At 35.7% G+C, this 14701-nt stretch overlaps 1 protein-coding gene across 24 annotated transcripts in view; it reads right to left on the bottom strand.

Moving 5' to 3' along the window:
• Positions 1 to 14701, bottom strand: part of ANKAR (ankyrin and armadillo repeat containing) — an 88390-nt gene that overhangs the window by 26139 nt on the left and 47550 nt on the right. For 12 of the 24 annotated variants that reach the window (XM_011510676.3, XM_011510681.2, XM_011510677.3 and 9 more), the window contains 5 exons: positions 8824 to 9098; positions 8501 to 8654; positions 8100 to 8261; positions 6320 to 6426; positions 3692 to 3814 (listed from right to left, as the gene is read on the bottom strand). In XM_011510676.3, the coding sequence (XP_011508978.1) occupies positions 3692 to 3814; positions 6320 to 6426; positions 8100 to 8261; positions 8501 to 8654; positions 8824 to 9098 (821 nt within the window). Of the gene's footprint in view, positions 1 to 3691; positions 3815 to 5803; positions 5983 to 6319; positions 6427 to 8099; positions 8262 to 8500; positions 8655 to 8823; positions 9099 to 10918; positions 11042 to 14701 lie in introns of those variants that run through there. The other 12 variants (NM_001378068.1, NM_144708.3, XM_047443451.1 and 9 more) reach the window with 9 other exon arrangements.

Here is a 14701-nt window from a genome sequence, read left to right as displayed (position 1 = left end):
CTGTATTTTTTGTAGAGACAGGGTTTTGCTATGTTGCCCAGGCTGGTCTTGAACTCCTGAGCTCAAGGTGTCTGCTCGCCTTGGCCTCCCAAAGTGCTGGGATTACAGACATGAACCACCACACCTGGCCCTGAATTTTCTTCTGCCACTGTTAATCATAATATTAAAATGCTGCATGTACATACTGAAATATTTATAGATAAAATTATATGATGCTTGAAATTTGCATCAAAAATAATTTAGTAGAAATGAGTAGATGTATAGATGAAATAAGATTGGCCATGAGATGATGACTGCTGAAGCTGGGTGGGAACATTTAGGTTCATTATGCTACCCTGTCATTTTATATATATTTGAAATTTTCCATAATAAAAATCACATACACACACACACACACACACACACACACACACACACAAAACCCAGTCACCTAAATAGGCAAAAAGAAAGGTATTAGGTACAGTCAAAGGCTTGAGAAACTAGGTCTCATTCATAGTCAAAGCGTGGATTAACAGACAGCAAAATAGAACCTAGAGCCAAGTAGGAAAGAGTGGCAATGGGAAATGAACCAAAGGGGCATGCTTTGTGTATCAAGGTCAGATAGAGCGAAGTGAGAGAAATATGCTAAGACTTGACTGATTTCCATTTCTTTTCCATGTAGGGTTCACTCCTGCGGTATCACTGTGGAAGTCTACAGTAAATAGTTTAGATTATAAAGTGGCTATTAATGTTTCAAAATGAATCCCATAGTTTGACTGCTCCCACCATGCCAGGTAGTATCAGATACAGGACAAGAACCAAGTTGGCTATTCCCAGTTCAGAAGGCTAAAAATTAATGCTTGAGGAAAGACATGTGTTTCCATACTTTTCTTCCCCAATGTCAACTGTCTTAAACTCTTTACTTCATATATATTTTCATTTACCTATCTACCAGGGTGGTTATACCCACTGGTTACTTATTGTTACTTTATACCCACTGATTTATAAATGGGAAAAGAGTGCCTGTTAATTATGCTCACTAACCTCTCTTCAAAAGTATATTCATAATTAATTAGCCCACATATTTGAGTTAATTAAAAAGAGTAGAATAACAGTAACTAAATTAATGCAACTAATTTTATGTGGCTTGTGAAAATCAATCTCAATGGTCCATTTCATATATTATTCTAGTTTGGTAGCATGAAAATAGTTAAATTATAATTTAAAAACAACACATAACCTATTGCATCTCCATGTAGACAGTATCAATGTGGCTAGGAGTTACAAGAACCTGGGTTCCTGACTTAATTTTTATTGCATTCCTGTCATTATCCATAAGATAGCTATTCATTCAGTGACATATTTAATGTTGCTGAACATCCCTCCCTCCCCTCTAACTTCTACAACACACCTGTGTAATCTGAAGTCTCCCACTATAGGTTTAATGAAGGATAGTTGTTCAGTACTGTCTCTAAAGCCCTAAGAGCACTAATGTGCCTCTGCAGGGCAGGTAGTTTGAGGCAAAATATAGTACAAGAAACCCTGGAGGACTTTTAACTTGCCTTGTGATGAGTGTTAGAATTAAAAATTTCAGCCAAGGCCGGATAAATCCTTTGGTTAAACCTTCTAGTTCTCTAAGATTCCCTACCATTTGTAGAACTGATGCACAAGAATAAATCTATTATAAGCCAAATGCAGGGTCCAGAGAGTGAAGCAGGTGGTAACAAACTGGGAAGGAAGGCAGAATACTTGAGAGTGGAATGTGTAACAAAAGGGAGAAGAAGGGTGCACATGAGGAGTAAGGTAATGGGAGTAAAAGCTAGAAGGAACAGAGTAGAGGGGCAAAAGGTGGCTTAGAGAGTCAGGTAGACATTCATTTAGTCTCCTCACCCTATTAGTTTCCACATATATATATATTTTATATATATATTTTTTTTTACTCTACTGTAAATATATATATATATATATTCTCTTTTTTGAGATGGAGTCTAGCTCTGTCACCCAGGCTGGAGTGCAGTGATGCAATCTCGGCTCACTGCAATCTTCACCTCCCAGGTTCAAGTGATTTTCCTGCCTCAGCCTCCCAAGTAGCTAGGACTACAGGCATGTGCCACCACGCCCGGCCAATTTTTATCTCTTTAGTAGAGATGGGGTTTCACCATATTGGCAAGGCTGGTCTCGAACTCCTGATCTCAAGCGATCTGCCCACCTCGACCTCCCAAAATATTTCCCATATTTTTATAGCAGCACTTCTCTTTTGTGTACCACAGTAGAATAAAATTTTGTATTAAAAAAATAACATGACTTAATTCCCACCCACCTCCTGACCCTCCTTGATCCCTCTAAAACCTTACAGAACTGAGAGAAACGTCGCTGGCAATTTTCTTCCTGGTTGTGAAATGCCCTGTAGAAAATAGCTCTCATTTCCTTAGGGTAGTGCTGTTGAAAGTGTGGCCCGTGGACCAGTGACAGTCCACAAAATCATTAACAGTGGGATAACAAAACTGAGAATAAACATTGAAAAGAAACAAATCTTCTTTATAGTTGAATACCAACTAATAAACGTAGAAGGAAGAAGGGAATTTTTTTAATTGCCCTTAGGCAAATGTTACATTTATTATTGTTGCATCAATGGATGCTAAGATTGGTGAGCAAAAGTGTGATGCAAGACAAAATATTTGCATAATCTCAAAGTGTCTCACCTTAAGATACTTATTAACTACAAAAGGAAAAACAGCGAAGAACTATGGCAGACCCCATTTTAACCGAGTAATCAAAATTAAGATTACCAGTAAAATACATCAACGTTATATACCTCATGCTATGATGTACTGGGAAGGTGAGTGAAGAAGACCACATCACTTCTGTGATATTCTTGCCAAAAGGTGTAACTTCAATTTAATTAGGGGAAAACATCAAGGTCAAATTGAGGGATATTCTATAAAATAACTGGCCTGAATTCATCAAAAATGTCAAAATCATGAAAGACATGAAATCATGAAAAACAAAGAAGGGCTGAGCTTCACAAACTGGAGGCTAAAGAGACAAGACATTTAGATGTAATGTGAGACCCCGATTAGATTCTGGAACAAAAGTAGACATTGAAAAAAATAAAAATAATTTTTTAAATTAAATAAAAAAAACAAAAAAGGGACATTGCTGAGAAAACTGGCAAAATTTAAATAAGGCGTGCAAATTAGTTAATAGTATTGTATCAATGTTAATGTTCTAGTTGACATTTGGGAAAACTAGATGAAGGATATACCAGAATTTTGGAAAGTCTAAGATTATTTCAAAATTTTTAAAGTTAAAAAAAATTATCCTTCCATAATAGATTGCTGGGAAAAAGCTATTTCTTCATCATAAATAGTTTGAGAAGCACCCCTTTAGCATATTGGATAAGTGAATGACTGAGGGCTGAAAGGGCATAAAATTATTGTAAAGGTTTGATTTGGGACATAAGAGATTTGTTTTTTGACTCATCACCAAACATTAAAATTACTGCATTTCAACGATGAAGTGGGACAACTCAGAAAAATATGGAGCTGTATTATTACATCATTACAAACTAATGACCTACAAAGAGATCTTTTACATGTCTTTTCTTAAACAATACATTGAATATTGCCATGAAGAAGACTTGATAATTTGAAGATGTGGTATAAAAACCATTTTTTTCAAAATGAACCTCAATATTTTGTAAAGGTATTACCTTTTCTGTTGAGTGAAGAAGATAAAGGACATCAGCATATTCAAATCCTTCATTTTCATGTAAGTCTTTCTGTAACACATCATTCCCTAGGACAATGCATGCCAAGGAAAATGCCACTTCAACCTAAACATGTGGTTTTCAGAAATTACTTTTCAATTATGCTTTATGAAATTACACATTTCATTGTGCAGGCATTTATATAGAATACATTGTGGAAAGATACTATAAAATCTGCTAAAATATAATCCATTGATTCCAGTTATCTTACTAGCGAAAGAACTGCACTTACAACTCCCTCATAATTTTTAATAGCTGAGAAAATATCCTTTCTGTGTTCAGGGACCAACCACAGAGCTCCATTTGAGGGCACTGGAGAAAGGAACAAGGGCGAGCAGAGCATGTAAGGAGGTATTATCCTAAGTACATAGTTGTATCCCTTCCATATTAAAAAAAAGTTCTTTTAATTTTTTGACATGGATTAAAAAGCTATTTTGAACTGCTTGTTAACTACTGACCATTGAGTTGTAAGGCTTTAATGCAGCACCTTTTTTTTTTTTTTTTTTTTTTTTTAGATGGAGTCTTGCTCTGTTGCCCAGGCTGGAGTACAATGGCATGATCTTAGCTCACTGCAACCTCCACCTCCTGGGTTCAAGCGATTCTCCTGCTCCAGCCTCCCGAGTAGCTGGGATTACAGGTGCGCACTACCACGCCCAGCTAATTTTTTGTATCTTTAGCAGAGACAGGGCTTCACCATGTTGGCCAGGTTGGCCTCGAACTCCTGACCTCATGATCCGCCTGCTTTGTCCTCCTAAAGTGCTGGGATTACAGGCGTGAGCCAAAGCACCTGGCCTGCAGCACCTATTAATTTAAGCAAAACTTTGGGGAGTAGTACTAAGAAATAGTACTACTAATTTTTCCTCCTCTAGTTCTGGAACCATTTAATGTACATTCTGAAGCCCATTAGGAAAATGAACTTTGCATATTATTGGGACTCAGTAGATAAGTTTTTAAAGTGTTGTACTATGCATTTCTATGAAAAACATTATGAATTTGAAAAGTATGATTATTGAATTATTGCAAAATGTTTTATCCATTATAGAATCTTTTGAGAAAAAGTATTGAAATGTATTTATGTTCTATTTAAACAAGTTTCAAAACTCATTGAAAATATGTACTGAAATATAGATGGATACATTTTTTATGATAAGACACACATTTGTTAAAAGAATGCACCAGATGTGGTGGCTAATGCCTGTAATCCCATCACTTTGGAAGCCAAGGTGGAGGATCTCTTGAGCCCAGGCATTCGAGAACAGCCTGGGCAAAATAGTGAAACTCCATCTCCAACAAAAATACAAAAAATTAGCCAGGCATGGTGGTGCACTCCTGTAGTCACAGCTACTCAGGAGGCTGAGGTGGGAGGATCACTGTAGCCTGGGAGGCAGAGGCTGCAGTGAGCCAAGATTGCACTACTGCACTCTAGCCTGGCTGACAGTGAGAGACCCCATCTCAATATTTAAAAAAAATTAAATAAATAAATACAGATTAAAAAAGAAACAGCCTGGGTGCAGTGGCTCATACCTTAATCCCAGCACTTTGGGAGGCCGAGGTGGGAAGATCACTTGAGGTCAGGAATTCAAGACCAGCCTGGCCACATGGTGAAACCCCGTCTCTACAAAAATACAAAAATTAGCCAAGCGTTGTGATGCACACCTGTAATCCCAGCTATTCAGGAGGCCGAGGCAGGAGAATCACTTGAACCCAGGAGGTGGAGGTTGCAGTGAGCTGAGATGGCACCATTGCACTCCAGCCTGGGCAACAGAGCGAGATTCTGTCTCAAAAAAAAAAAAAAAGAAAAAAGAAAAAGAAACAATGCTATTTACTTAGATATTGTCCTCCTATGTTATTTCTATTTTCTCATCTCCAGTAGCATGCATACCAAATTTTGAAAATAAAATTTTTTTTGATGTTATAATTTCTTGCCTGGCCATCTATAGATGTCCTGAATTTCTAAAGCCTGGGTAAGAGTATTTGAATAGATGTAAATGTCATTTTATTAAAGGCATTTTAGTAGAAGTAAATGGAAGACTGAATGACTCTTCAACAACTCACAATAATTCTTTGTAATGTCCAGCCTTGAGAAAACTATTACCTCCAGCCAACAGAGGCTGCTTGACAGAAGGCAGGGCTGGTCTGAAGTGTAGTACTGACAAGATTCACTAATATTTGAGAAATATTCCCATATAAGTCACACATTCCCACTATCGCCGCCCAGTTTTAGCAACTGATGTCTGGGGAGGTAGAAAAGAACTTTTGTGAATAAATAATCAAATATCTGAGGAAAATCTTATTTGAAGAGTAAAAACATAAGATTTTCTTGTCATATTTGAAGAAACCCTATTTTAATAAAATTTACTAGTATCTTATGGTTTGCAGCAACCTTTTTAAAACTTCTAGGATTTTGTTTATTTTTATTTTTATTTTTGGCTTATTTCTCCAAGAAAAATAGGATTTAGTTTAAAAGATTAAATATTTTTATGTTTATGAACTTGAATAAAGATACAAAATTTTCTTAAAATTATATTTGTTAATTTTTACCATATCAGAAAACAATGTAAACCTTTATACCTTAATGTTAGGAGAAGGGTGATTTCTTAGTAGTTGGATAAGTACTGGAAAGGCATTTTCATCTACAACCAATTGTTGACTGACAGGATTGCTTGTATGGGCTACACCTGTAAGAGTCCACGCCAGTGAGGTAATATTTTTTTCCATCTTACAAATGGTAAAGTCAAACATAGCTTGATATTTTGGGTTGACAAAGCATTCTAAGGTAATACAGTTAGTAAGTTACAAAGGGGTATGCTATATTGACACTATTTTAATAGTCCTGAATTAATTTTTTAAAAGACAAAGTGAATAAACATGGAGACTTTATTAGAATTGTGAGTGGCTTCCTAAAAGTCACAAAGCAAAGGAAATTAGAAATATTATACTACCAAGGAATACTAATAGCTATCATTTATTGAAGAAATATTATGTGCGAGGTACTTAAGTTCATAATTCTGTTGTTTTCCATAAAAAGTTTACTTCTACAAAAATGAATAGAGTAAATCACCAAGTTAAAATTTCTTGGTTTCTTAAATTATACACGCTAACAAGATAATCTTACTATGTCTCTTTATAACATACTACTTTAAATTGCAGGCCTAAACTCACCAGAGAGACTCAACTCTCTCTTTTTTTTTTTCCACTCCTTGCAATTTCCTGTTGAGAAACTCATTTCTTTCTAGTGAACATGGACAAAGAATTTTAACTCTGTTCTTTTGCTAATATTAAATGTCACAATAAATATACAGTGGGTTTATGTAAATGGGTTAACCCTAAATAAATGGGTTAAATATAAGATTGAGCCTCTCAGTGAACAATGAAGAGAAGTCACCTACATATTGTATCTAGGGAAGTTTGAAGGAAAAAAGAACACCTTTGTCCCCACAAACCCCCCACCCGCACCACACACACACACACACACACGCACAGCTGATGTGGACAGATTTGAAATGAACTAATGCGAAGAAATTTGATTATGTGCATGTGTATGTATATCAGGCAACCTTGCATATATATTATCATTTACTAGAACTTTAGAAATAACTGTAATTTATGTCAGAGTCTCTGGCCAAAAAAAAAGAAACATCTTCTCTGGCTGATTATCTTGGAATTGTGAATGAGTTTCTGCAAGAAACTTTTGGCAAGCAAAGAGAAAAAAATGTGAGAATCAATTCCTATTATACTTCATTCAGCTGGACTATTTTTGAGGAAATTCAGTGATCTGGAAATAAAGATTTTTCCTCTTGTTTGCAAGAAGCAGTCTACAATCAGCACCCTGCATTCATCAAGGTCAGCAAGAACCCAAATTTTAACTTTTGGTGGGTCACAACTGACAGTTCCACATTTTCTCAGGTACCCCAAAATGTCAATTCCTTTGCAATGAATTCTATGTTATATAAACAAATGATCATTACAGAGACATTCAAGAATGTGCTCCAGCATTAGAAACTCTTCTATATCTTCAAAAACATATCGTTCTTGAGATTCAAAAGAACTATTTTTCTCTTAAACTTAAAAAAGAGATTGCTTTCAGTCAAAATAGTCAAGGCTTATTGTCTTAATTTTCCTTTCTAGCCATTGTTCAAGAGCAAGACTGATATAAGATTCTTAATTATACCACTTTTACTGACCAAGTTCTTAGACAAACTTTAAAAGTTATAATAGTCTTTCATACATTAAATACCATTTAGGGCTCAAACAGTGGGGATAGAGAGGAAGAGAGATTAATTTCCACTTCTCTGCGCAATCTGTTCTTGTTCTTACAGATATTTAAGAAATTGAGAATAAGTATACAAACCAATACAAATGGATCCCACTGCTCTGATGACACTGAGAAGTGTGCCTTCAGCAATCGTACTAATTCTTAGTAAGCGAACCAATGGTGCAATTCCATTCCCTTCACATATTTGATTTTGATGCATCCTGCTGTCCTTACTTAGAGCTATGACAGCTTCACCTCCTGATAAAGAAAAGCAAGATACATGTATGATACTCCAGTGCCCTGTTCTACATTATGCAGAGGACACGGTGGCTGACACTTGTAATCCCAGCTACTTGGGAGGCTGAGGCAAGAGGATCACTTGAGCCCAGGGGTTTGAGGCTGCAGTGAGCTATAATTGTGCCACTGCACACCAGGCTGGGCAACAGAGCAAGATCCTGTCTCTAAAAAATAAAAATAAAATAAGGAAAATAACTTACCAACATACTGCATTTTAGCTGATGGTGACAAAAGCATATTTATTATAAAGCTGTATCCAATTTGTTCTGCCATATATTTTTGTTGTTTTAGTGTTTGTCCTGCCAAGGCCCAAAGTGCAACAGCTCCTTGTTCCTTAACATCTATTTGAAATGCCTATTTTTAAAAATATTTCATTAATTCAGTGAACATTTATTGAACATTTTAGGAATGCATATTTTATAAAATGTTTATTCTAGAATTGGTTTAGTTTTTCTATTCACTTAACAATTCAAAATAGAAAACATCATCTAAGAAAAATGACCAGTAATCATAAAATTCCTACCTTTAGGAGTTTTAAAAGATATTTAGTTAACGATTTTTCCAGAAATGCTTTCTGTATAAGAGCGTTGTGACTTGCCAGTGATTCCACAGCCATTGCACCTTTCATTTGGACACTAATTTGTTTCCCTTTAAAAAGAGCCACCAGAGGAGGAATCGCTCCCTCCATAGCTATAGCATCCTGAATTTCCTTATTGTCACGCCCAACCTCAGCAATTGCAGCAGAAGATACAGCCTTCAACACATCTTCAAATGAATTTAAGAACAAGTTAAATAAACCTTATGAAAAATAAGAATATCAAAGTGCAGCATATCATTAGTTTCCCATATTATAAAATCAAATTTATAAAAAGCTTAGAGAAAATAAAGAAAAATAGAAATAAACAAAACTGGCTAGATTTACCACCTAAACACAATCAAACATTTGGCATAATCTCATGTACTATTTCTTATGAAGATAGATTTAGATAGTTATAGATGTATTTGATATAGTTGTATTTTAAAACAACAGCCTGCATTTTTACTTACAATTAAAACATTCCCTCCCCACCACCCTTTTTTTTTTTTTTTTTTTTTTTGAGACAAGGTTTGGCTCTATCACCCAGGCTGGAGTGCAGTGGTGTGTGTGATCTCAGCTCACTACAACCTCCACCATCCTCCCACCTCAGCCTCCTGAGTAGCTGGGACTACAGGTGTGCACCACCACACCCGGCTAATTTTTGTGTTTTTTGTAGAGGAATTACCAGAATAACTCAGTACATCTGAGTAAACTGCTTATCAAAAATGATAATAGCATCTTAGCCTTCCATAATCAGAGTTCAAAAGTATCAATGTTACTGTGTTTGAGTATGAGTATTATCATTAAAAATAAATATGTAAACTTTGCTAATTTGATAGCTGTCTCATTTTGTTTTGTATTTTTGGTACTGGTGATTCTAAACATTCTCCTATATTCTTTTAACCACTTACACTGTGTTTTTTTCAATATGGGTATTATCATTAAAAATAAATACATCAACTTTGCTCAAATTTGATAGAAAAAATGCTGTCTCATCTTGTTTTGCATTTTTGGTATTAGTGAGTCTAAACATTTTCCTATATTTTAACAAGTTGCATTTTTTTAACTTATAGAAAAGTTGTAAGAATAAGTCAGAGAATTCCTGTATACCTTTACCTGGATTTATAAATTTTTAATATATTGCCATATTGGTTTTTCTATCCATTTATCTATATAATTTACTTTTCTAAATTTGAGGGTATGTTGCGTGCATACATCGTGGCCTTTTATCTCTTTAATAGTCTAGTGTGTATTTACTAAAAACAAGCCTATCCTTTTATGTAACTACAAGGCAATTAGTAGATGCAATACTTTAATCATATTGTGTTGATTTTCCTAGTAATGTCCTTTATCACATTTACTTTCTTCCAGTACAGGATCCAGACCAGGACCATGTATTGCACTTAGTTATGTCTCTTTAGTGTTCTATTATCTGGAACCTTTTCTCAGGGGTTTTTTGGTCTCTTATGACATAGACATTTTTAATGAATATGGGTCATTTAGTTTAGAGAATTTTCCTCAGTTTGGGTTTGTTTGATGTGTCCTCATGACTCAAGATATGCACCTCCATCCAGAATATTTTTAAAGTGACATTATGGCTTGGGTGCAGTGGTGCATGCCTGTAATCCCAGCTATGCAGTAGGCTAAGGTGGGAGGACTGCTTGAGCCCAGGGGTTCAAGATCAGCCCGGGCAACATAGCAACCTCATTTCAAAAAAAAAGTGACATTAGGTTCTGGGGATATCCTCTGTGGAGTTATATAATGTCCATCTATTCCTCATTGGTGATGTTAATTTTGATCACCCAGTTTCTCTACTGTATAGTTGCTATTTTCCCTCTTGCAACTAATAAGGAGCAAAACACTTTAAGACCATGTAAATATCAAAATTTGCCCCCAAGATTTAGCAACCATTTATAATTTTTGCCTGAACCAATCTTTACTATGCTGTTTGCAAAATACTAATTTTCCAAATCTACCACCCCTTCACATTTGTCAATTGACATTCTGCTATAAGGAAGAGCCCTACCTTATTCTCTATTTATTTGTTTCCTTGTTTATCCAGTTGTTATCAGGATGAGGGCACAGGCTCCTATTTTATTCAACCCTTTACTTTTCTTTTCTTTTCTTTTCTTTTTTGAGACAAGGTCTCGCTCTGTCACCCAGGCTGGAATGCAATGACATGAACTCAGCTCACTGCAACCTCTGCCTCCCAGGCTCAAGCGATCCTCCCACCTCAGCCTCCCAAGTAGCTGGGAATACAGGCATGTGCCACCATGCCCAGCTAATTTTTGCATTTTTAGTAGAGATGAGGTTTTGCCATGTTGCCCAGGCTGGTGTTGAACTCATGAGCTCAAGCTATTTGCCCGTCTTGGCCCCGCAAAGTGCTGGGATTATAGGCATGAGCCACTGTGCCCGGTGTATTTTCTTACTTATGTTGGTACCCAAAATTGTCTAAGATTTGGCCAGTGGGAGCCCCTTCAGGTTGTCCTTGTGTCCTATAGATATGCCTATAGATATAGATAGTAAAAAAAAGGATTTTATTACTTTCTGTCACCATATGATGATGTTCCTGACTCACCATATACCTTCTCTGCCCCTGCCCCAGAATCAACTATTTCTCCAAGAAGCTCTGGTTCCTTTTAATGAGGGATGATATTTAGAAACCAAGATTTGGGTGCTCGGTATGCTCATTGCTACTGGAATATCATTGCTTCTGGATCATATATATGTGTGTGTGTGTGTGTGTGTGTGTGTGTGTGTGTGTATAAATCCATATATATAAAATATGTATACATATATATGTATGTGTATACACACACACTCATACATACACACATACATTTCCAGTTCCAATCCAACCCCACAGGGTTTATTGTTTTCCTACATTCTGCACATTTCTTTGCACAGTAAGAACCCAATAATATCAACACATTTATTCATTTCTTTAGTCCTATGGTACTTATCATATGGGTTCAGAATTGTTCTACCCATATCATTATGACATACAAGCTCACTAAAAAGAACTCAAAATCTGTGTGTAGTTTGTTTTGTGTTTACCCTTAGAAAGATGGTATATAATGCACTGTGTTTAAAATTATTTGTATTCATTTTTTCTTTTCTTTTTAAATCTAGTTATACAATTTATTTCAGTTTTCATTTCCCCCAGCCTTGTAGATTTAATTTTTTTATTATGTAGAATATCAATATATTTCCAAAAGCAAAACTAAATAGAAAAGTGTTTGTGCATTCATGTAGCTAACTATATCCTTTAGATGCTCTATAATCCAGCATTTGTTTTTTCATATACTATCAAGGTTAATTATCTCTCTATTAAGGCCTTATTGTTCATACCAACTTCTATACCCACTTTATATCAATTTATGTCAAAAATATTAACTATTTTTATTGTTATGAGTATGTTATTCATTTAATCATCTAATCATTTATTTAATGCATATTTATTGAATAGCTATGTGCTAGACACTGTCCCAGGCACTAGGGAAATAAAGGTGAACCAACAAAACAAGGTCCTTGACCTTGTCGAACAAAAGGAAAGGCCAGAGTAAAGAACAAAGCAATAAGTTCAATATTACTTGAGAGTAATATCAGAGAAAAAGGGAGTGACAGGAAGGTCATTTCCTCTTGAAGTAGGGAAGTAAAAAGGGCTATAGGCCATGCTGGAAACATGGATCATATCCTAGGTGATAGAGAGTCACTGAATAATTTAAAGAAGAAGATATGATCAACTTTACATTTTAGTTAGATCACTCAAGTAACACTTGGAATGTTAACCCTGAAAGATTAATAAAATTAAGAGAGTGTGGGGGAAACCATTCTTTCCCTTACCCACTATTCCTGAATCAGTACAAAAAGTAGAAATTCCTCTACCCATGGCCAACTCAGAAATGTTAAGAATAAAAATTTACCCCTTACTCATTCTTCCCCATGAGAAGAATAGTGAGTTACATAATTTTTTAATTTGAAGAATGAGTCATTGCAAATGCATGGTTTACGTTCTTTTTGGCACTTTTTGTTGTTTTCTCAAAGCAAGCTTTCCAACAATAATGCTGAAGTTTTGATCTTTATTTGATTCCTGTCTATTTCTCATTTGGACCCAAATTCTGAAAGGAATGGAAGTGTCTTTACTAAGCTATTCAGTAATCCAAAGTAGCTCTAAAGCTCAGGGAAGACGTCAGGGATGTGGATAAAGAACTGGGAAGAATAGATTGTAAACCTAGTAGAGTTCCTTTGGAGTGAATAAGAGGTAAAGAAGAGTATGCTGGATGAAAGCAGCAGTATGACAAGAATGGAAGCTTAAGGAACTCCAACTTTTAAGAGTTGGCTAAAGGAGGACTAATGGTGAAGGCAGACTTTACAACTTTTGGGGTCATAATTCCAAAGTTTTCAGATTTTAGAATGTAAGGAGTACATAATACTACATATTGTATAACATCACAAAGGGTCTGGAGAAAATCAATTTCTGCAGAAATATGTGAATAATCATTCCAAGAAAAAAAATGAGGTGATCTTTTAAGTTTTTCTCAGTTTGAAACTGAAAAAGCATTTTGTATGCTTTTGTTACATATTTGAGTTTCTGTGGTGGTGTCATATAAACTTTTGTTATTAACACAGAACAGGAAAGTAGGGTACCATATGAAATCAGAAGCATTGTAGGAATGAAAGCATGCATACATGAATATATGTATATAAGAATGTGCATACAAGCAGCTAAATGGGTGAAGGAAAGGCCTAAAACAAACCAAACTTAGCAAGGGTAGCCTTGCTCTGGACATAGAGACTCAGACCAAGGAGATGTTAACAAATCCATCTTTTCAAGAAACTGTATGTGAATCTACTTTGGGGCCATTTTAATACATGAAATCTTAGAGTAGCTCACATGGTAAAGAAGACACTGGAATTAATAATATGCCTTTGTGATCTCCTATACCTTAACAACCCAGCTAACATCCAAGAGGACTATTTGCTAAAGCACTGAAGTTATATAGGGAGGCTTACCTAAAAGGAAAAAATAATTAAAATTTATTTCAAAATTAAGTTATCTTCCTTGGAGTGAGGACATAATGTAGATTATGGTGTAGGAAAAAATACTTTTATTTCAATAATTTATTTCATACTATAGTTTTCTTTTCTTTTTTTTTTTTTTAGACAGTGTCTCTCTCTGTTGCCAGGCTGGAGTGCAGTGGCATGATCTCGGCTCACTGCAACCTCTGCCTCCCAGCTTCAAGCGATTATCCTGCTCAGCCTCTCAAGTAACTGGGATTACAGGCACGCGCCACCACACCCAGATAATTTTTTTGTATTTTTAGTAGAGACAGGTTTTCACCATGTTGGCCAGGATGGTCTTGATCTCCTGACCTTGTGATCCACCCGCCTTGGCCTCCCAAAGTGCTGGGATTACAGGCGTGAGCTACCACACCCGGTGCTATAGTTTTCTTTCATGAACTCATTTATTATTTATTTATTCAAATTGTTGCTACAATTTGTACTTTGTTACAGCATCTGGGATTGAGAAAAGGAAAACAGAAAGAGAAGACCTAGTCCCTATCTTTAAATTTTAATTAGTTAGATAAAACACAAACAAAAAAAGAGATAAAGAATGACTATAAATGAGTAAAAATTATATGTTTAAAATATACATAAAAGCTGACCCTCTCTAATGCTATTCTTTTTTCCTTTTTTTTTTTGAGATGGAGTCTCGCTCTGTTGCCCAGGCTAGAGTGCAGTGGTACAATCTCAGCCCACTGCAACCTCCGCCTCTCGGGTTCAGGCAATTCTCCTGCCTCAGCCTCCCAAGTAGCTGGGA

This window comes from Homo sapiens, chromosome 2 (genome assembly GCF_000001405.40).
Source record: "Homo sapiens chromosome 2, GRCh38.p14 Primary Assembly".
NCBI lineage: Eukaryota > Metazoa > Chordata > Mammalia > Primates > Hominidae > Homo > Homo sapiens.
The sequence above is the reverse complement of the archived record's forward strand: the minus strand, read 5'-3'. Positions and strand labels throughout refer to the sequence as shown.